General features: G+C 39.8%; 2 annotated features.

Moving 5' to 3' along the window:
- Positions 4060 to 4612: an enhancer, noted in NCBI's record as "OCT4-NANOG hESC enhancer chr6:87307995-87308547 (GRCh37/hg19 assembly coordinates)". NCBI's record gives its function as "activates a minimal SCP1, AML or CMV promoter by ChIP-STARR-seq in naive H9 embryonic stem cells {active_cell/tissue: H9 hESC(naive)}" and the evidence as "EXISTENCE:reporter gene assay evidence [ECO:0000049][PMID:30033119]".
- Positions 4831 to 5031: a silencer, noted in NCBI's record as "peak5941 fragment used in MPRA reporter construct". NCBI's record gives its function as "represses an SCP1 promoter by STARR-seq MPRAs in K562 erythroleukemia cells {active_cell/tissue: K562}" and the evidence as "EXISTENCE:reporter gene assay evidence [ECO:0000049][PMID:32103011]".

The following is a 21731-nucleotide window of genomic DNA, read 5'->3' on the forward strand; positions in this document are numbered from 1 at the left end:
GCAACTCATTTGACAGAAAAAAAAGCTGATTTCCTTAACTAAAAAAAACTTTAAATTAGGATTAAAAAATTAACAAATCAATAATAAAAGGGACAGGGATATGAACAGGTAATTCACAGGAAAAGAAATACAGGGCCCAAAAGCAGATGAAAGATGTTCATCCTCTCACATAATTGAACAACAAGAATATCAAAACATAGAAATAGCAGTTTTTAATATTTCAATGGTAAAAATTTAAAGCATGAAGAAAGTCATTGCTGGTGAGAGTGTAGCTGCCCAGACACCTTCACATATTTTTTGTGGGAGGATCAAGTTGCAGAATCATTTTAAAGCAATCTTTGGCAACATCCATAAAAACATAAAATACACACTCTTGTGACTCAGCAACTGCACACATAAAAATATAAATTTGAATATTTGTTCTTTCAGCAAATATTTATTGAGTACCTACTATGTGCTAGGAGCTAGATTCTGTGCTAGGAGCTGGGCACAATTGAGCAGAGAAGCAGGCTACATGCAAGGAAATTGTCAGGGCTTGTCTAATAATGGAATAGAACATAATTTGAGGTAGGAATTAGGAAAGCTGAACTACAGTTTTGGTTTGTGGCCAAATTAATGTTGTAATCTTGTAACTCTGTTTTTCTTTCATTTAAAACAAGAGGGTTTTAGTAGAATTTTATGACAAAAATCCCATCTCTCTGAGTTTTAAGGCAGAACCCATATTTAGTGAGAAAGGAAATGGATGTTCCAGGTCTTGCTCCAACCCCAGACTTTTCAGAATCAAGGGGGGGCACTGCTTAAAAATGGAGCACTCTGGGCTGAGCAGGGTGGCTCATGCCTGTAATCCCAGCACTTTGGGAGGCCCAAGTGGACAGGTCACTTGAGTCCAGATGTTCAGGACCAGCCTGGCCAACATGGTGAAATTCCGTCTCTACTAAAACTACAAAAATTAGTGGTGGTGTGCACCTGTGGTCCCAGCTACTTGGGCGGCTGAGGCAGGAGAATTGCTTGAACCCCAGAGGTGGAGGTTGCAGTGTGCTGTGATCACACCCCTGCACTCCAGCCTGAGCAATAGAGCAAGACTCTGTCTCAAAAAACAAAACAAAAACACTTTCTCAATCTTCTTAGAACATAACCCCAACTTGATGGCAAGTAATTTAAGACATTTATAGTAAAACAAACATAGATAAGTTATGAATAAGACAAAAATGACATCCATTTTTAAAATAATACTCAGAGAGAGAGAGAAAGGAGGAGGGGCAGAGAGAGAGAGAGAAAAACAGAAAATTTCTCTTGCTCTTGAGGCCTGTTTCATCCACCTTTGCAATTTCCAAAAATGAGTTAGGCCTCTCCTCTGGGGTGAGGGTATTTTGGTGGAATGTCCCAGACAGCTGTTCTAATCACATTTTTGCTAGCTACTGGTCCTAGAGTTTTATGTCAGCTTTTTAAAGCCTTGTTTTTAAAGTTGATTCCAGCTAATTTTGCCCCTGAATTTTAGTTTCTTAAAAAGAGACTTACAACATCTGTTCACAACGTAACCTTTTTTACAAACAGTTCCCAGCCATGGAACAAAGTATATCTTGCCATTTGGCCAGCAGATGGTCACAGTGTTTAGGAATCAACGTTTTTCCACATCGGCTTGTTTCCTTCATCATTACAGTCCTGATATTCTTCTTGTCAGGCAAATAGCCCAGAGTATAGACCCTCATCACAGGCCAGGATCCTGCAAGTTCTGCAAGGGCTCCATATGAGTGGTGGTTGTTCTTGTTTTTGTGTAGATTTTATTTATTTTTCTCTCCTTTTTTAATATGTATTTTCACCTTTCCTCTAAGGTGAAAATATGTATTATTTTACCTTTCTTCTTTCACTAAGCCACATCTCCAGTGATTCCTCCCTCCTAAGCAAAACTCACTCTCTCACTAAAAGTCGTCCTAACTTTTACCATAATTAGTTCTTTGGTTTTCTTTACAGGATAATAACTGTATTAAGAAGACACAGGCATGGAAGAATTACAAAGAGAGAGGATTTTTAGTTGCTAACTTTTCTCACCAAATTAAAAAAAAACTCACTAGATAGTTTAAAGAAAAGACCCCAAATTACTAAAGTTTCTAAGTTTATAGTCTCTTCCTGGTAGAAAGCAGCTATTTTCTTATAGGAACATATATCAGTATTTTAAGTCAGGGGTATCATTCTATCAAGGAGTTAGTCATTTACAGAAAATGGCTCACTAGACAGAGTGATCTTGTTGGATTTTTGTTTGATTTTATTTTTGCAGGGGAGGGCAGAGTGGGAATTTCAGGATGCAAAGCATTTTCTTCTCCTTGAGTTGGGACATGATGTGCACATTATTTTACTAATAATAAAAGTAAGGTTCGTGTCTTCATGTCAGTTTTTCTCTCACAGTCCCTCCTTTTGGTCATATTCCACCCTTAGAATACGGATTTAAACAAATATTTTGTTTTTTCTGTTGTCTTGTTTTGTTTGGATTCAATATTATTAATTTGATGTTTTATCTGGCCAATTCCATTTACATAGTTGTAACAAGAGGTATTAATATACAAGGAACTTCTTATTGTATGTTTTACAAAACTAGAGCCATATGGTACCAAAGCTGGAGAGTTAACCCCTGTGTGGGAGTTTGGTAAAGCCCCTAGGGTCATCCTTTTTATTACTTTCATGTGGCAGACAAATTTGCATGGTTCTCATCAACTCAATTTGCTTACTTCAAATCTGGGAGCCCCTGATTTCCAATTCTCTTCTATACAGATTCTGTGTGCACCTCCTAAAACTGTAGTGGTATCATTAACTTTGTAAATATCCCTGTGTCAGGAAATGACACTGTTGTCACCTGTAAAACTAAGACTGTAAGCAAAGTAGCAGGTTGCCAGCTGGGTTCTTTGAAGGAAATTGTGTGTACCATTACCACATAAAATGTTTATTATTTGTTCTTTAATAGTTGAGTTTTTAACCTAATCAAATGGAATTTGTCTTTAAACATGACATTTCTGGCAAGGTCATGTTGCAATTTTGAATTTACCTAAATTTTTGTACCTCTGCAAATAACTGCGTGGTTGTGAAAAGTAAAGGAATTCAGTAAAGGCACTTTAAAAATATTTAACCATTATTCTGAATAATGTTACAAGGGGAATTATCATATATTATTCTTTATATAATAATTTTACCTGATGATTTATTGGCTTGAGAATACCTATTATACATCTTTTTTTTCCCTAAATTTTGAGGAGTCAGTGGGAAGAAGATAGCATTTTAAAAGCATATTATTCCAGTTTGTACAAGTCTAGCCTGTTAAAGTAAGGTTAGTGATAAATGAAAAAGAAAAAAAGAAGGGGGAGATTTTCTTATACAGTATGTCTAATTAAAAAAGATGGAATGTTAACTACAATTACATGAGGTTAATGCAGTTGTAGGTAACTAATCTTGTTTTGCTGGCCTGGAACTGAGCAGCTCATGTTCACAAAGTCTTCTACTTCTAGAATAGAAGTGTTCTGGAAATTCTGTCTGAGAGGCTTTTACTCGTGGTAACAATGCCAGGTTATTCTGGGATGCCTGCACCTTTGAATCCATACCCTTTTGGATCAATAGCCAGAAGTACCCGAAAGTCTTTTACTGAGCTTCTCTTGATGTTTCTTTCAGAAAACTCAGTTTCTGCCATGAGACTTGTAACTGGGGACTTGAGGCAAGTGTGAATGAAAGGAAAAGATGCCCTGTTATCAATAAGGCAGAATAGCTTATTGTTAAGTTACTGCAATAACCATCAATATCAGAATGCAGGACAGTGAAATCCTCTACTGAGATATACATAGTTATTTCTAGGGATTCAGTCACTAACTATCCTGAAAATAAAATGTATTGTAGAGAGTGAGGTCACTGTAAGTTTCTGGGGTTTTCTAATTTATCCCCCAAGAATGTGCTATGAGTGCAGGTTCTGATTGTCACCAACTGACAAGGGTATTTTAAACCTAGAGAAAAAAAGTCATTTAAAAAAATAATAATTTTTCGTGCTACTATTATTTTCACTTGTGTCCGTGTGAAGAGACCACCAAACAGCCTTTGTGTGAGCAACAAGGCTATTTATTTCACCGGGGTGCAGGCGGGCTGAGTCTGAAAAGAGACAGTGAAGGGAGATAGGGGTGGGGCCATTTTATAAGATTTGGGTAGGTAAAGGAAAATTACAGTCAAAGGGGGGTTGTTCTCTGGTGGGCAGGAGTGGGGGTCACAGGTGCTCAGTAGGGGACCTTTTGAGCCAGGAGAAGGAATTTCACAAGACAATGTCATCAGTTAAGGTAGGAACAGGCCATTTTCACTTCTTTTGTGGTGGAATGTCATCAGTTAAGGCAGGAACCCGCCATCTGGATGTGTGCGCGCAGGTCACAGGGGATATGATGGCTTAGCTTGGGCTCAGAGGCCTGACATTCCTGTCTTCTTATATTAATAAGAAAAATAAAATAGTGGTAAAGTGTTGGGATGGTGAAAATTTTGGGGGGTGGTATGGAGAAATAATGGGCGATGTTTCTTGGGGCTGCTTTGAGGGGGATTAGGGGTGGCGTGGGAACCTACAGTGGGAGAGATTAAGCTGAAGGAAGATTTTGTGGTAAGGGGTGATATTGTGGGGTTGTTAGAAGAAACATTTGTCTTGTAGAATTATTGGTGATGGCCTGGATACAGTTTTGCATGAATTGAAAAACTAAATGGAATAAAAGAAGGAGAAAAACAGGTCTTAAAGGACTAAGAATTGGGAGGACCTAGGACATCTAATTAGAGAATGCCTAAGGAGGTTCAGCATAGGCTTGCCAGCAAAGATTATTTATTTACTTTAAGAGTTAAGCGTGGCGGTTCGGGGATAGCACCAGGAGACATCAGCTGTGATGGCTTGGAGAAACAGTGTAAACCAGCAGTGTAAACAAGAGCAGGGCGTGTATGAGTAGTTGAGAACAGTGAATAGGAGGATGACTAGACAGAAGATAATAGGGATGACAAGTTTTTTGGAGCACAGTCTAAGTTGGTCTGGTGTCTGGAATGAGACTGGGGCCTAATAAAAAGGAGTGTCTATAGAGGAGCTTAAATGGGCTGTACCTTGTAGCATTCTGAGGACAGGCCTGAATTCTCAGAAGGGCAGGTGGTAAAAGTATTGTCCAGTCATTTTTAAGTTGGTGGCTGAGCTTGGTGTGGTGTGTTTTTCAAAGACTATTAGTTCACTGAATACTAAGAGCCTGAGAAACTGCTTGGGTGATTTGACTAATAAAGGCCAGTCTGTTATAGGACTGTATAAATGTGGGAAGGCCAAACTGAGGAATTATGTCTGACAGAAGGGAAGAAATGACTGTGATGGCCTTCTTAGACCCTGTGGGAAAGGCCTCTACCTATCCAGTGAAAGTGTCTACCTAGACCAAGAGGTATTTTAGTTTCCTGACTCAGGGCATGTTGAGTAAAGTCAATTTGCCAGTCCTGGGCAGGGGCAAATCCCCAAGCTTAATGCGTAGTGAAGGGAGGGGGCCTGAATAATCCCTGAGAAGTAGTAGAATAGCAGATGGAACACTGAGAAGTTATTTCCTTGAGGATAGATTTCCACAACAGAAAGGAAATGAGAGGTTCCAAGAGGCAGGCTAGTGGCTTGTACTATAGCATAGCCTGCCTTTGCTGGTGTGTGGTGATTAGGCCTGGTGGAACTGCCATCAATAAACCAAGTGTGATCGGGGTGAGGAACAGGAAAGAAGGAAATATGGGGAAATGGGGAGAATGTCAGGTGGATCAGAGAGATACAGTCATGAGGGTCAGGTGTGGTATCAGGAATAATGTGGGAGGCCGGATTGAAGTCCAGGCCAGGAATAATGGTAATTGTGGGAGACTCAACAAAGAGTGAGTACAGCTGAAGGAGCTGGAGAGCAGAAATTATATGTGTCAGGTGTGATGAAGAAAATAGATTTTGGAAGTTATGAGAACTGTAGAGAGTGAGTTGAGCATAGTTTGTGATTTTAAGGGCCTCTAAAAGTATTAGGGCAGTGGTGGCCACCGCACACAGACTTGAGAGCTAGGCAAAACAGTAAGGTCAAGTTGTTTGGATAAAAAGGCTACAGGGCACAGTCCTGGTTCTTGTGTAAGAATTCCAATTGCACAGCCCTGCACTTTGGCTGTGGGTAATGAAAAGGGTTGGGATGAGTCAGGGAGAGCTAGGATGGGGGCAGTCTCTAAAGCTGTCTTCAAGGAATGGAAAGAGGATGGGGAAAGGATTTAGGATCTATGGGGTCAGCCGGGTTCCTTTTGTGAGTTTATATAATGGTTTTGTTAGGATGGCAAAACCAGGTATCTAAAGTCAAAAGTATCCAACCATGCCTAGGAAGGAAAGGAGTTGTTGTTTTGTAGAAGGCGCTGGGGTTTGAGAGATCAGTTGGACATGATCGGCAGGGAGAGCACGTGTGTTTTTTATGAGAATTATGCTGAGATAGGTAACAGATGAGGAAGAAATTTGGGCTTGACTAAAGTAATGGGCGCTGTCTGCGAAGCTTTGCAGCAGTACAGCCCAGGTAATTTGATGAGCCTGATGGGTGTCAGGGTCAGTCCAAGTGAAAGCAAAGAGAGGCTGGGATGAAGGGTGCAAAGGAATGGTAAAGAAAGCATGTTTGAGATCCAGAATAGAATAATGGGTTGTGGAGTGAGGTATTGAGGATAGGAGAGTATATGGGTTTGGCACCATGGGCTGGATAGGCAAAACAATTTGGTTGATAAGGCGCAGATCCTGAACTAACCTGTAAGCCTTGTCTGGTTTTAGGACAGGTAAAATGGGGGAATTGTAAGGGGAGTTTATAGGCTTTAAAATGCCATGCTGTAGCAGGTGAGTGATAACAGACTTTAATCCTTTTAAAGCATGCTGTGGGATGGGATATTGGCATTGAGCAGGGTAAGGGTGATTAGGTTTTAATGGGATGGTAAGGGGTGCATGATCAGTCGCTAAGGAGGGAGTAGAGGTGTCCTATACTTGTGGGTTAAGGTGGGGAGATACAAGGGGAGGATGTGAAGGAGGCTTTGAGCTGGGGGAAAAGGCGGCAATGAGGTGTGGCTATAGCCCAGGAATAGTCAGGGAAGCAGATAATTTAGTTAAAGTGTCTCAGCCTAATAAGGCAAATGGGTAGGTGGGGATAACTAAAAAGGAGTGCTTAAAAGAGTATTGTCTAAGTTGGTACCAGAGTTGGGCAGTTTTAAGAGGTTTAGAAGCCTGGCTGTCAGTACCCACAACAGTTATGGAGGCAAGGGAAACAGGTCCTTGAAAAGCAGGTAATGTGGAGTGGGTAGCCTCTGTATTGACTAAGAAGGGGATGGACTTACCCTCCACTGCGAGAGTTACCCAGAGCACCTGTGATGGTCCTGTAGGCTTCTGAGGCGATACGGCAGTGTCAGTCTTCAGCTGCTAAGCCGAGAAGATCTGGGAAGGAGTCAGTCAGAGAGCCTTGGGCCAGAGTTCCAGGTACTCTGGGAGTGGCTGCTGGGTGAGTTGGACAGTCCGATTTCCAGTGGGGTCCCGCACAGATGGGACATGGCTTAGGAGGAATCCCAGGCTGCAGGCATTCCTTGGCCTGGTGGCCAGATTTCTGGCACTTGTAGCAAGATCCTGGTGTTCTGGAGGAATGCCTGGCCACTGTGGTTCAGGCTTTTGGAAGTTCTTGTGTGCTGGAGATGTGGCTGGGGTTTGTCTCACAGTGGAGGTAAGGAACTGCAACTTTTTTCTATTATTGTACACCTTGAAGGTGAGGTTAATTAAGTCCTGTTGTGGGGTTTGAGGGCTGGAATTTAATTTTTGGAGTTTTATTTAATGTCGGGAGCAGATTGGGTAATAAAATGTATATTGAGGATAAGATGGCCTTTTGGCCTTTTGAGGTTTTGGGGTCTAGCACTGTAAAGCATCTCAGGGTTGCTGCCAAACAAGCCATGAACCGGGCTGGGTTTTTATACTTGACGAAAAAGAGCCTAAACGCTATCTGATTTGGGATAAAGAAAAAGGAGCATTAACCTTGACTATGCCTTAACTCCAGCCACCTTTCTAAGAGGAAATTGCTGGGCAGGTGGGGGAGGGCTAGTCACAGAAGGAAACTGTAAGCCAGACCGGGTGTGAGGAGGGGAGGTGATAAAAGGATTATAGGGTGGAGGAGCAGAGGCTGAGGAAGAATTGGGACCTAGCTTGGCCTGGTGAGGAGGGGAGAGGTCAGATGGGTCTGTAGAAAAGGAAGATTAGAAAGACTCAGCGACGCTTTGGGGGTGGGACTGAGGGGACAGGCGGGAGGGAAAAAAGGAAGATTTGGGATGAGTTGCATTGGGAACAGACTAGGGAGGGACCGATGTGTAAAAGAATGCCTGGACGTCAGGCACCTCCAACCATTTGCCCATTTTACGACAAGAATTATTCAGATCTTGTAGGAAAAATTGAAAGTGCCATTTTCTGGCTATTTGGAACTACTGTTGAGTTTGTACTGGGGTCAAGCGGCATTGCAGAAGAAAATAAGGCATTTAGGTTTTAGGTCAGGTGTGAGTTGAAGAGGTTTTAGATTTTTAAGAACACAGGCTAAGGGAGAAGAAGGGGGAATGGAGGGCAGAAGCTTGCCCATAGTGAACAAGGCAAGCCCACAGAAAAGAGAGAGTAGAGACATGGAGAGAAGGGGTGGGGGGTTCTTGCCACCCAGAAAAGCAGAGAAGGGGTAGAGACACGGAGAGTAGGGGCTGGGGGATTCTTGCCCCCCAGAAAAGTGGTACTTGCCACTAAGGGTGAAGTAGAAGGGGTTGGGGGTTCTTGCCCCCCAGAAAAGCAGTACTTGCCGCTAAGGGTGAAGGACCAAGGCAGGCGTCCCTGTGTGGTCAGACACCTCTGAAACGTAGGTTAATAATCAGGCAGGCATCCCCACATGATTAAACACCAAGGGAAGACTGTCTTCATGAGTCCATGACTGGCACCGGAGTTTTGGGTCCACGGATAAAAGCGTCTCCTTCGTCTCTACCAGAAAAAGAAAGGAACTGAAATTAAGAAAAGGGAGAGATTGAAGTGTGGTGCCAAGACTGAAAGGAGAAAGAGGTTGAGGGATAGTGAGAGAGGTTGGAGAAGAGAGTAAAAAGAGGCCGCTTACCGGATTTAAAATTGGTGAGATGTTCCTTGGGCTGGTTGGTCTGAGGGCCAGAGGTCGTAGGTGGATCTTTCTCATGGAACAAAGAGCAGGAGGACAGGGGATCGATCTCCCAAGGGAGGTCCCCCAATCTGAGTCACGGCACCAAATTTCACTAACATCCATGTGAAGAGACCATCAAACAGGCTTTGTGTGAGCAACAAGGCTGCTTATTTCACCTGGGTGCAGGTGGGCTGAGTCTGAAAAGAGAGTCAGCAATGGGAGATGGGGGTGGGGCCATTTTATAAGATTTGGATAGGTAAAGGAAAATTACAGTCAAAGGGAGGTTGTTCTCTGGTGGGCAGGAGTGGGGGTCACAGGTGCTCAGTAGGGGAGCTTTTGAGCCAGGATGAGCCAGGAGAAGGAATTTCACAAGATAATGTCATCAGTTAAGGCAGGAACAGGCCATTTTCACTTTTGTGGTGGAATGTCATCAGTTAAGGCAGGAACCGGCCATCTGGATGTGTACATGCAGGTCACAGGGGATATGATGGCTTAGCTTAGGCTCAGAGGCCTGACAATTATATTTTCACAGCCTTTGTAAATATCCGTGGTTGTCTTTTATTCATCTGAAAACAATTTTGGTGGTAAGATGAATTTTTACAGGGGCAGATGAATATATGACCAGAATGATTTATACTACTTAAGAACATCCTGTACACTCAAAAATTATTTTCTTACTTTAACATAATAAAAACTAAATTCCACTTTTACTTTCTATATTCCCCACATATGATTTTCTGTTAAAAAAAAATTCATACATTTTTATCTATCAAGACTGAGTCAAATTTGTCAACATTTTAAAACCTTTATTTCTTTCAAACACATGCTTTAGAATTAGTATAAATGAAGGAAAATAAAGTATTACTTCCCCATAGACCTTCTAAACTTACTGTGCACTCTTGTTATTGTCTTCTTTCTCATGCTGGCACAAGCAGACAATTTTATTTCAGGATAAAAGTATCCTTTACTTCTTGGTACCATTTAAGTGTATGTCTCTAAACAAGATAGCTTGATTTAACTAATTTTGGAACTTACACAAATGCAGTTACGTGTATATATTCTCTTGTCTCTGCATCCTTTTACTAACATTATGTTTGTAAGATTCATGCATGTTTTTATACACGGCTGAAGTTCATTCAATTTTATTATAATCATTGTGTGATTATACCCAAATTTTCTCCATTCTATTATTGATGGACATTTAGGAAATTTTTAGTTTTTGGCATTTAGGAGCAATGTTCCTATAAACATTCTTGAAAAATGTATCCTAGTGCATATATGCCCATGTTTCTCCAGTTGATGTAGAAGTGGAATTGCTGAGCCATAGATATGTGCATCTTCTACTTTACTAGGTCAGGCCAAACTGTTTTGCAAAGTGCTTTGCGATATTAAGCCCTGCTAGCAGTGTATGACAAGCATTGTAAGACTTCAATTTGGATTTTAAAAGGCAATTGTACTGGTTATAACTACTGTGATTAGTCCAGTTCTAGAGAGCAGCAGGGATGTGTGACACTTACCCCTAAGATTGCTCAGACTTTGCTGGAAAACTCACACTCTTCCTTCCCTCTGCCTTAACTCCTCTGTAACCTTGACTCCTATCTCCCACCTCCTTCTGAGACTTGCTCTCCTAATCCTACCTCCTCCTTCTCTTCACCCCTTTCCTTACCTCTTTCCTCCAAATGACTATTTCTACAATCTTCTCTTTGTTGAGCCTTCTTTTTCATTTCCTTTGCCCGACTTTATCCTTTTTAGCAGCTACTATTTGTTGTACTAATTATAGCCTTTGTTTTCTTCTAATTTCAAGAGGCAGGTAAGTAGAACCCATTTCCTGTCTCAAAAATATCTCTGTCTTATACATTGTATCAATCATGTTCACTGTCATTCTAAGGAGAACAGCCTCTCCCAGTCCATTAGGCTACTGTTTGTTTTGAATTATGTGATGTATGAGTCCTCCTCTAGTTCTAGATAATTAAACCAAGTGTGGTAATTGGCCCAGCCTGTCAATTCATGAATGGGCCAACAACCAGAACATGGCTCTGTAAAAACAAGATGAACCAGGCTGGGTGTGGTGGCTCACGCCTGTAATCCCAGCACTCTGGGAGGCCAAGGTGGGTGGATTACCTGAGGTCAGGATATTGTGACCAACCTGGCCACCATGGTGAAACCCCATCTCTACTAAAAAATACAAAAAATTGGCCGGGTGCGGTGGCTCATGCCTGTAATCCCAGCACTTTGGGAGGCCGAGGTGGGTGGATCACGAGGTCAGGAGGTCGAGACCATCCTGGCTAACGCGGTGAAACCCCGTCTCTACTAAAAATACAAAAAAAAAAAAATTAGCCGGGCGTGGTAGTGGGCACCTGTAGTCCCAGCTACTAAGCAGGCTGAGGCAGGAGAATGGCCTGAACCCAGGAGGCGGAGCTTGCAGTGAGCCAAGACAGCGCCACTGCAGTCCAGCCTGGGCGAAAGAGCGAGACGCCGTCTCAAAAAAAAAAAAAAAATACAAAAAATTAGCTGGGCATGGTGGCAGGTGCCTGTAATTCCAGCTACTCAGGAGGCTGAGGCAGGAGAATCACTTGAACCTGGCAGGCAGAGGTTGCAGTGAGCCGAGATCGCACCACTGCACTCCAGCCTGGGTGACAGAGCCAGACTCCAAGTCAAAAATGATAATAATAATAAAAATATATAAAAAAAGATGAACCAGTCCATGCAAACATCAACTCAAAATGAATAAAGACTTAAAACATTAGACCAGAAACTGTAAAACTACTAGAAGAAAACATGAGGGGAAAGCTCTGTGAATTAGTCTGGGCAATAATTTTTCTGGGTATGACCCCAAAAGCATAGGCAATAAAAGCAAAAACAGGCAAATGGAATTACATCAAAAGGATTTTGCATGGCAAAGGAAACAATCAGTGAGTAAGCAGACAACTTGTGGAATGGGAGAAAATATTTGCAAACCTACATCTGGTAAGTGGTTAATATTCAAAATATATAAGGAACTCAAACAATTAAATAGCAAGAAAACAAATGACTCGATTTAAAAATGGGCAAAGGACCTGAATAGGCATTTCTCAAAAGAGGACATACAAATGGCCAACAGATATACGAAAAAATGCTCAGCATCACCAATCATCAGGGAAATGAAAATAAAAACCACAGTGAGAAAACACCTCACACCTATTAGAATAGCTATTATAAAAGAAGATGAAAGATAAGTGCTGGTAAGGACGTGGAGAAAGGGGAACGTTTATATGCTGTTGGTGCTGTTGGAGGAAATGTAAATTAGTACAGCCATTATGGAAAATGGTATAGAGGTTTCTCAAAAAATTAAAAATAGAAATACTGAGTATATATCCAAAGGAAATGAAATCATATGTCAAAAAGACATCTGTACCCCCATGTTTATCACAGCAGTATTCACAATAGCCAAGATATGTAATAAACCTAAGTGCTCATCAATGAAAAGATGGATAGAGAAAATATGGTATATATACTCACAATGGAATATTATTCAGACTTTAAAGGAAATTCTCTCATTTGCTACAACATGGATGAATCTGGAGGATATTATGTTAAGTGAAATAAGACAGGCACAGAAAGACAAATACTGTATGATCTTACTTATATATGAATGTAAAAAAAAGTCAAACTCATAGAAGCAGAGAGAAGGATGGTGGTTACAAGGGCCTGGAGGGGCTAGGTGAATGGGCAGATATTGGTCTAAGGATACAAATTTCAGTGAGATAGCAGGAATAACTTAAAGAGATGTATTTTACAACATGGTGATTATAGTTAATAATAATGTATTGTCTTTGTGAAAATTGTGAAGGATGTTTTTGCACCATCAAAAATGATAAGGATGTGAGGTAATTCATGTGTTAATTACCTTGATTTAGCTACTCCACAATGTATATATATTTTAAAACATGTTGTACACAATAAATATACAAAATTTTAACTAGTCAATTAAAAAATAATTAGTTAATTTTTTAAAAGGTGAATTATGCTATGCCTGTGATTATATTCCTGGATGCCTGTGAGAAACCTCTCTTGATTTCTGCCCTGTCTATAGTTATCTGTTAAACATTTTAATTACTTGAGGCAAGGAAGAATTTCCTCTCTATGTTGCAAGCAGAGAACAGGTCTAGAAAAACTCTAAATTAGTTATACTTCTTCACATGAGGGACCTTTAATCAATGTTTTCCCTCTGGAGGTCCCTGGCCTTCAATGGAGGCTGATCTTGAACTACACCCACACACAGGTCCCCCGGCTCTTAAAATTTACATTTGTCTTTTATCACAGAAAGGTTGTTATGTTCAGTTTGCTAAAGATGATACTGGCTGTTAGGTTTTTACATTTTTATCCACAATGTTTATCAAGAGAAACTATTTTTACAGAAAACACTACTAAGAAGGATGTAGCACCGCATGTTCCCAAATGGGAGTATTTGTGTCTTCACACATGCTGGTGAAGGGCATCACTGAAGCCAAAGAGTAAAAATAAAAAAGCAGATATAAGACATGGTAAAAATACAATCTTACAATATGTGATCTTGAGGGGATAATAAGGATGGCTTATTTTAGACTAACATTAAACTAGACACTAAATAATGGCTTTAGATGTAAAACTCCATCCTTTCCCTGCTTTTATTGCAAAATAGATGTTCTCTATGATGGTTTACTAGGATCTTTTCCAAGTATCTTCATCCCAGCTTTGCGTTTTCACTAGTAACGCTGATGTTTCAAATTTATTAACCACTTAATTTAAGTAATTCTCATGGGCGAAAGCTCTTCAGGAAGAGATGAGATCAGCCAACAAAACAGTGTTATAGAATTACAGAAGTTACAAATGAGAAATGACCAAATGAGGAGACAGTATTGGAGAGTGAAACCGACTTACTTGGAGTTGCATGTCACATAGCTTCAGAGGAGCCAGGACCCAAACTTAGATATGCCTCCCCTTTCTCTAGTACCCTGCCCATTTGTTTATAACTTTTTCCAAAAAAATTATCAACTTTGCCAAATCTTTGTCCTGTCATTTTGAAGCACAGGGTATATAAGCTTTGTGGTGTGTTATCCTGACATCAGTGTCCTCTTGTGATTCAGTGCAAATATAACTCTAGGTCTTACCAGGGGCATGTGAGCTGATGAGAGAATAGGAAAGATTCAAATCTAAGGTAGTGTTCAGACTTGGAGTGCAAGAGGCAGAGAAGCATGAATGGGAGAAAAAATGCCATCAGGGAAGATGAGGGTGTTGCAAACAAAATTTGGCCTACTTGCTAATTTTTCTTAGGCCTTCCATTGGCTAAAATGAAATCAGTCTGATTTTCACTATATGCTGATAGAAAAAGAAATAAAAAATAGATGGCATTATTTTGGAGGCACGTGAATTTTATAAGATGCGGATGATGAAATCAGGAGAGCCAAAATAACTTCTAAGTTTTGTTTTGCAGAAGATATAAAAGGAAATGGAAAAACACTGTTAATATAGAAGACCAAAAAGAGGATAAAGGAAAGCAGTTTGCTTTTATTGCAAGGAGAAGTTTTTCTCTAATTTTTAAAATGTTTATTTATATGAAAATAATAGAAATTGTGGCAATTTGGGAAGATGAGCAGGACGCTTACCTTGAATAAGAAAGGAAAGCTTCAATTCTCACATAGCTACACAAAGTAATCTTTTCAAAATGCAAATCTGACCGCATCTCTGTCATTCTCCATTGTTGTTAAAAGACCAAAATTCTTAACACACATACAAGGCTTTGCCTCACCTTGTCCCTGTGTACTTCTCTCCCCTCCTAATCATAGTCTATCAATTTCCTCCATCCACTGAAGTTTGCCCCCAACCTGCTGGTCATCCTGGCCATCTTTCAAGCACTAGCCATCTTGGCCGTCTTTCAATCTGTCAGTCACCATGTTCTTTCTTGCCCAAGGTCTTTTTAAGTGCTCTTTCCTCTGCCTTAATACTCCTCCTTCTACCTGAACTCCCACCTGCACCTACTCAGTTCTTACTCATCCACCATATCTCAGCCAATATGTCAATTTCTCAAAGGCTTTTCTGATCCTCTTGGCCCAATTTAAATTGAGTCACATTCTTACAGGCCACGTATGTTTCTTTTATGCTAATTATGTATGTTTCTGTTATACCATTAATTGTATGGTCATATGTAGTGTGTGATTGTTTAAAGAGGTCTATTTCTCCCATCAAACTATGAGTTCTGGAAGGCAGTCCTCACTCTTTTGCTCACCAATGTTGTCCTGAGTGGCCATCACAATGTCTGCTGCATATTTGTTGTGCTAATAAATACTTTTTCAATTAGTGTTAAATGTTATGGACTGTAGCAGGACAAGCCGCATACAAAACCCCTCAGACATGGAGATAGTGAAGGGAATGGCTTTAATCAGCTGGAAGCATCAGCAGACTAGCCTCTTAAAATCCAAGCTTGTCGGGTGCACAATTTCTGTGCCTTTTAAGGGCTCACAACACTAAGGGTTTCACATGAAAGGGTCGTAATTGATTGAGCAAGCCAGGGGGTACGTGACAGGGGCTGCATGCACCGGTGGTCAGAGTGAAACAGGACAGACCGGGAAGTTTCACAATGTCTTTCCATACAACGTCTGGAATCTATAGATAACATCAGTTGCTAGGTCAGGGGTCAAATTTTAACAGACTTAGGTCAGGCAGGCCCAGGCCTGGTTTCAGGTCTGGTTCCTTTGTTTTGGGTCTGTTCGTAGGCACCAGGCTACCTGCCTTTAGTTTTGCTTCTCTTTCTTTTTCTGAGTGTAGAACAATATAAAACAATATGAGAGGGTCTGTCTCTCTTCTCTCAGACCACTTAAAAATAATCTAATAAAGGGACATGGAAGAATCTGGAAGCCATCAGTCGCAGCAAACAGGAACAGAAAACCAAGCACTGCATGTTCTCACTCATAAGTGGGAGTTGAACAATGAGAACACATGGACACAGGGAGGGGAACATCACACACTGGGGCCTGTGGGGGGTGGAGTGGGGGGCTAGGGGAGGGATAGTATTAGGAGAAATACCGAATGTAGATGATGGGTTGATGGGTGCAGCAAACCACCATGGCACATGTATACCTGTGTAACAAACCTGCACATTCTGCACATGTATCCCAGAACTTAACATAAAAAAAACAAAACAGAACAAAACAAAATGGAACCAAAAAGATATAAGCTTTGAAATCTGTATTAGGAATGGGACATAAAGTGAGTCTTCAGTCTTTTAACCTGGTGTCATATAAATTATTCTAGAGGTACAACCAATCAGGTGAGGTTTGAGGGATTTGTACTTGAAAAATCATAGGAGATACCTCTCTTGTGGAATTTAGTGTGAAGATTAAATGAATTAGTAAATTAAGTATAATGATAAGTATTTAAGTTTAATAAGTAAATGAATTACTAAATATAGTACATATGAAATATATAAAATAGTACCTGGGCCCATAGTAAAAATTAAATATATTATTGTTCTCATTATTGTTTTTAAAATCCGAAGAAAATTTAATTGCCTATTTTGGTGCCTAGAGTCTCATGTAATGGGGCTGGGGGATGGGGTAGGAAGACATTAAGACTTTTAAATAAACCATAAGAAAAGCCACCTCAAAGCCTAAATAGCTCAGGGCTAGGAGTCAGTCTTGTCTGAAGCCCATCACCAATGACCTATCACAAAGGCCTTTAACCCATCTGAATCCTAGTCGCTTCAGGCTTGGCTTACCATTTTTGCTATGTGAGCTTCCTAAGTCACTTGTCTTTTCTGAGACTGACTTTCTTTGCTTAAAACAGCATTTGTTATTTTGTATCCTGCACAATTTTTGTCATTTCCTTGTGCCACTTATACCATTTAAAAATATTTTTTCTTTAATTGGCTCACTTTTTATTTAAATAAATCTATGTAAAAAGGAAACTTTACATATTGCCATAAATGGAAAATTAATAACATAGTAGTTCCCCAAAATAGGGTGACAATAAAGTTTATAATAATACTTAAAAACAATGTAATAAACTCTGTCTGGATATTATTGCCTGACAAAAGTTCTGAGGCTTAAAGTCTGTTATGTTTTTATGAAAATGGAGATGTGTTCTAAAGGTTTTATAGAAATATCAGCACCAAACTGAAATTTTCTCCTTACACAAAGTCCTGAAAGAGAATTGTAAATAAGATATCTCCTTTGTCACATAGTTCCTCATTGAATGTCATGTAAGGTCGCCACCTAAAGTCATCCCAAGATCATCTGCAAGACACACCTCACATTTGAATAACATGGATCTAAAAATTGGAGATCATGATAAAAATACACAGCCCTGTGGGGTTTTTGAGAATAAAATTAGATGTAGTATTTGAAACTGCTGGCCGGGCGCGGTGGCTCACGCCTGTAATCCCAGCACTTTGGGAGGCCGAGGCGGGCGGATCACGAGGTTAGGAGATCGAGACCATCCTGGCTAACACGGTGAAACCCCATCTCTACTAAAAATACAAAAAATGAGCAGGGCGCAGTGGCGTGTCCCTGTAGTCCCAGCTACTCCGGAGGCTGAGGCAGGAGAATGGTGTGAAACCGGGAGGCGGAGCTTACAGTGAGCCGAGATCGCGCCACTGCACTCCAGCCTCGGCGACAGAGCGAGGATTCGGTCTCAAAAAAAAAAAAAAAAAAAAAAAAACTGCTCTGTAAATTTTAAAAATCTATGTAGTCGTGCATATTTTAAAAATGAGATAGCATTTACGTGCTAATTTTGTTTTTTATGTTACAAGGGACAGAAACAAACTTGGAAAAGCTTAAGAGAGATAGGGTTTTTTTTTAATGGAACAGTAATTACATTTTAGCACTATTTGTTCTGATACCTCCCTCTTTATTGTGTGCGTGTGTTTGCAGTTCTATTGCTATCATATTCTCATCTTCAGTCTCCTTTAAGCAGCCAAGAGTTAAGTAGTAGTTTGATTAAGCATCACCTAATACGGAGTGCTCCTACCGGACAATTTTGGCTCAGTTCTTGCTCCCTGGGTTATTCCAACACAGTGAGGGTGACTGGGTTAATTTTCAGGCAAGTACATGGTTCTTTTCTTCAAAGGGGCATTAAAAAGCCGAGTTACTATAAGACATAGTGAGGTTTTGTGTCCTGCCCAGCACAGTAAGCCAAAGGGCTTTGGAAGTTAAAAGTACATATCCTTGTTATATAAACTGCTAGAAATCTGAATGCAAAATCGTGGTAGGAGGCCAAGCAGCAGTGGAAACACTGATGAAAACCAGCAAATGAGTTGCTGAGGATCTGCACTTATACCGTAAAGGTGGATGGTCAGCTGTTGTTACTTCCTCCAACCTTGCCCTCCCTCTGGGCAAGCCCATCTCCCACTCCCAATTCACACACAAATACACACAAACACACACACACACACACACACCTGTAGTATTGAAGAGACTACGTTTCTATTCCAAAGCAAACTCCAAAGTACTAGTCCCCAAAGATACATTTAAGTAGTTATTCAGTGGTTAATCTCCCCCTAAGATTTTCTTTAGTCTCTGACATAGACAGCTGAGATATCTAAAATAGGAGGTATCCTTGTCTGATCTCAGACAAGAGATAGGAGCTAAGGATCACATAAATGCTAAACGTCATACTCAGCCACATTTGTTCAAGATAGGGTGCACCCTGAGGACCTTTCCAGTAATACTTTTATTCTTAATGTACAGCAGGGCAGCTAGAAGTAAAGGGGAAAAAATTTCTTTGATGGAGAGAAATGTTAAGAAGTCTGAGAACAGGATAAAACAAAATATCTCTGGAGATGGGATAAATGAAGGGCACACAAAGCCTATAATTTTTAAAAAAAGAAAAAAAAGAAAGAAAGAAAAAGAAAAGACTGCTGTGACCTTCCAGAGACAAATGAGAAGTCAGGGAAGTAGAGTAAGATATCAACTCAGGTGAAATGAGTCTGCAAAAGAAAGGGCAAAAAAGCCTCCACCTCTATTCAGATTGTTTCACACAGAATCAGGTGAAAGGATTTCTTACAAGTGTGGTGCTCAAGTTTTAACGTGTACCGGAATCATCTGGAGGTCTTTTAAATACACAGATTGCAAGGTCCCTACACCGAGAGTTTCTGCTTCAGTTGGTCTTGGTTGGGGGGGGTGGGGGCAAAAAATGTGCATTTTTAACAAGTTCCCAGATGTTGCTGGCACTGCAAGTTCAAGGGCCACACTTTGAGAACCATATTGCAGGAAAAGACTAGCATGGGGAGCAGGATGATTTAATTATATGTATTATATATACATATGAATAAGCACTGCCTCAAAACTCCTGAATGGGTCATCTATGGGACTCTGTATCAAATCTCTCTGTGTTCTTATGGGGCTCACAGACACTATTTTACTGTCACTCAATGACATCTAACAAACCTATTTCTCTCACTGTGAGACACGAATGAGATTACACATGTGAAAAATTCTTCATGAACACTTTGGAGTTAGCTAAACAAGATAAACTAAGGCCCAGAGAGAATAAATGATCCATCCAAAGTTAAATGGTGGGTAAACAAAAAACCAAGATCTAGTGCCAGATCATTGTCGATTAAAGCTTGTATTCATTTCATTAAGCTACTTTATTAGGAGAAAGCATAATTAATCTTAGCTTTAACTAAAAAAGAACTAGCATATACATGACCATAATGTGATGTAAACCTCTTTGCATCATGTATAATTATATCCAGCTAACTCCTCCAATCACTTATTATAAAGTATTAATAAAAACAAGATGATTTCAGTAATAAGCCAACCACATTGCATTAAACAAATGCAAAGTCCTTTCATTCACATACTTGCTTCATTCTCTTCTTCACCTTCTTCTAATTGTTTCCTAACTAGAAAAAAAAATATTTCACTAGATAATAACACAATTTCATAATTTTTAGTTCTTTGTCCACTGAGGGTCACTTTCTTTTTAGAGAAGGCAATTACAAGTTTGCTTTATAAGGAGCACTGTTTTACAATCAATTTTCAGGCTTAGTTTGTTGGTTTGCAGTTCACAGGATGCTGTCACATAGATCACGATTTCAGGTTGACTGTGCCACAGGCTGAAAGCATCTGCCAGGAGTTGCCTCTTACTTTTCTACACCCAAACGTCTGATGCTATTATATAGGGTTCAATAAAGTCTTGGAGCAAGAAGGGACCTTGGAGATCAGAAAAATTCAGAATCTCTCAATTTACAGGTAAGAAAACTGAAGCCCAAGATCGTTTAAGAGACTTAATTAAGGCAGAGCCAGGGATAGAGCATGGATCTCCTAAATTCCAGCCCAGTGCTTTACCAAAGCGGTTTGTCCTGATCATTCAATTAAAACAAACAAACAAACAAAGAAAATTCTTTATTGAATACCTGTAAAATTTACAGGATGTCAGATTTTAAAGAGCTTTATAATCTAAAATATTTTATCTATTTAAAACTTTGCTTTTTCTATTTTAAATTGCATTTAAATGTATTTTATGATGATTTTGTAAAATTTATAGATATATATGGGCTTCTTTAAAAGATGTTAATACAGGAATATACCTAACAAAAATTATTTCTGTATCTCTCCCATTTAAGTCAACCTACCATAGCAGAGATAACCACTCAACTGTTACATTTCCAACCAGAAGCTTTGTGATACGTTAACATATATGTGTATTTATGTGTGTGTTATCTTTAAAAGGGATTCATAGTTCTGTGATTTATGCATTTTACTTAACATTATCTCATAGACTATATTAAATATCAACAATACGGCTACAATATTTGATATAGTGACATGTAAGTATCCTTTTAGGGATACGCCATTTTTTAAAAAAACAATTTTCCTTCTGTGACCTTTTATATTGTATTATATTCTTTCTTTAAAAAACAATGTTGGAGGAAGTTCTAATACAGGTATTGTGGCATAAGCCCCTTATAGCTCATCTTTCCTACTGATAACAACTATGAACAATAAACAAAATGCAGAAAAAAAAAAAAACTACCTGAGGACTCTGAACTGTAAACAAAAGCTAGCAAATTGTGAAGGGGAGATAAACCTTGAAGAAGTGACCTACAGGGAGGTGACTTCCTCCTTGACTTTCTCCTTTCTTGAGTGGATTTGACTAGGCCTTATCAGGGAGTGAAGCAGCCTGCAGGATGCAGCTAAAAATATAATAGAAATCCTGCTGTCTCATCAGCAGACAGAGTTACCTTCGAAAGGAGCTCAGGAAGGTCTGACAGTGAAGTAGAAATCACAGAAGAAAGAAAGCTGAAGAATCCCTATTTAAGTGTGAGAACCCATACAAACCTCAGCCTAATCCTTAATCCATATGTGTAGGACCAACTCAAACCAGCAAAGTAAAGACTTGGGAAATTGAATTGAGAATTGAAATACTTGCATAAATCTTAACCTAACCCCTCAACCATGCCTGGATGAAACAGATCCAAACCAGTTAGCAAAGGCTTTAAAAACTGAAGTGAGAGTTGAAAGACTGCCCACAGAAAGCAAGACAGAATTTACACTCTGAACCTAATCATGTGTATTGCGTCCTAATGAAAAGCATTAACTTTCA

The sequence above is a fragment of the Homo sapiens genome, chromosome 6, assembly GCF_000001405.40.
Source record: "Homo sapiens chromosome 6, GRCh38.p14 Primary Assembly".
In the NCBI taxonomy this organism is placed as follows: domain Eukaryota; kingdom Metazoa; phylum Chordata; class Mammalia; order Primates; family Hominidae; genus Homo; species Homo sapiens.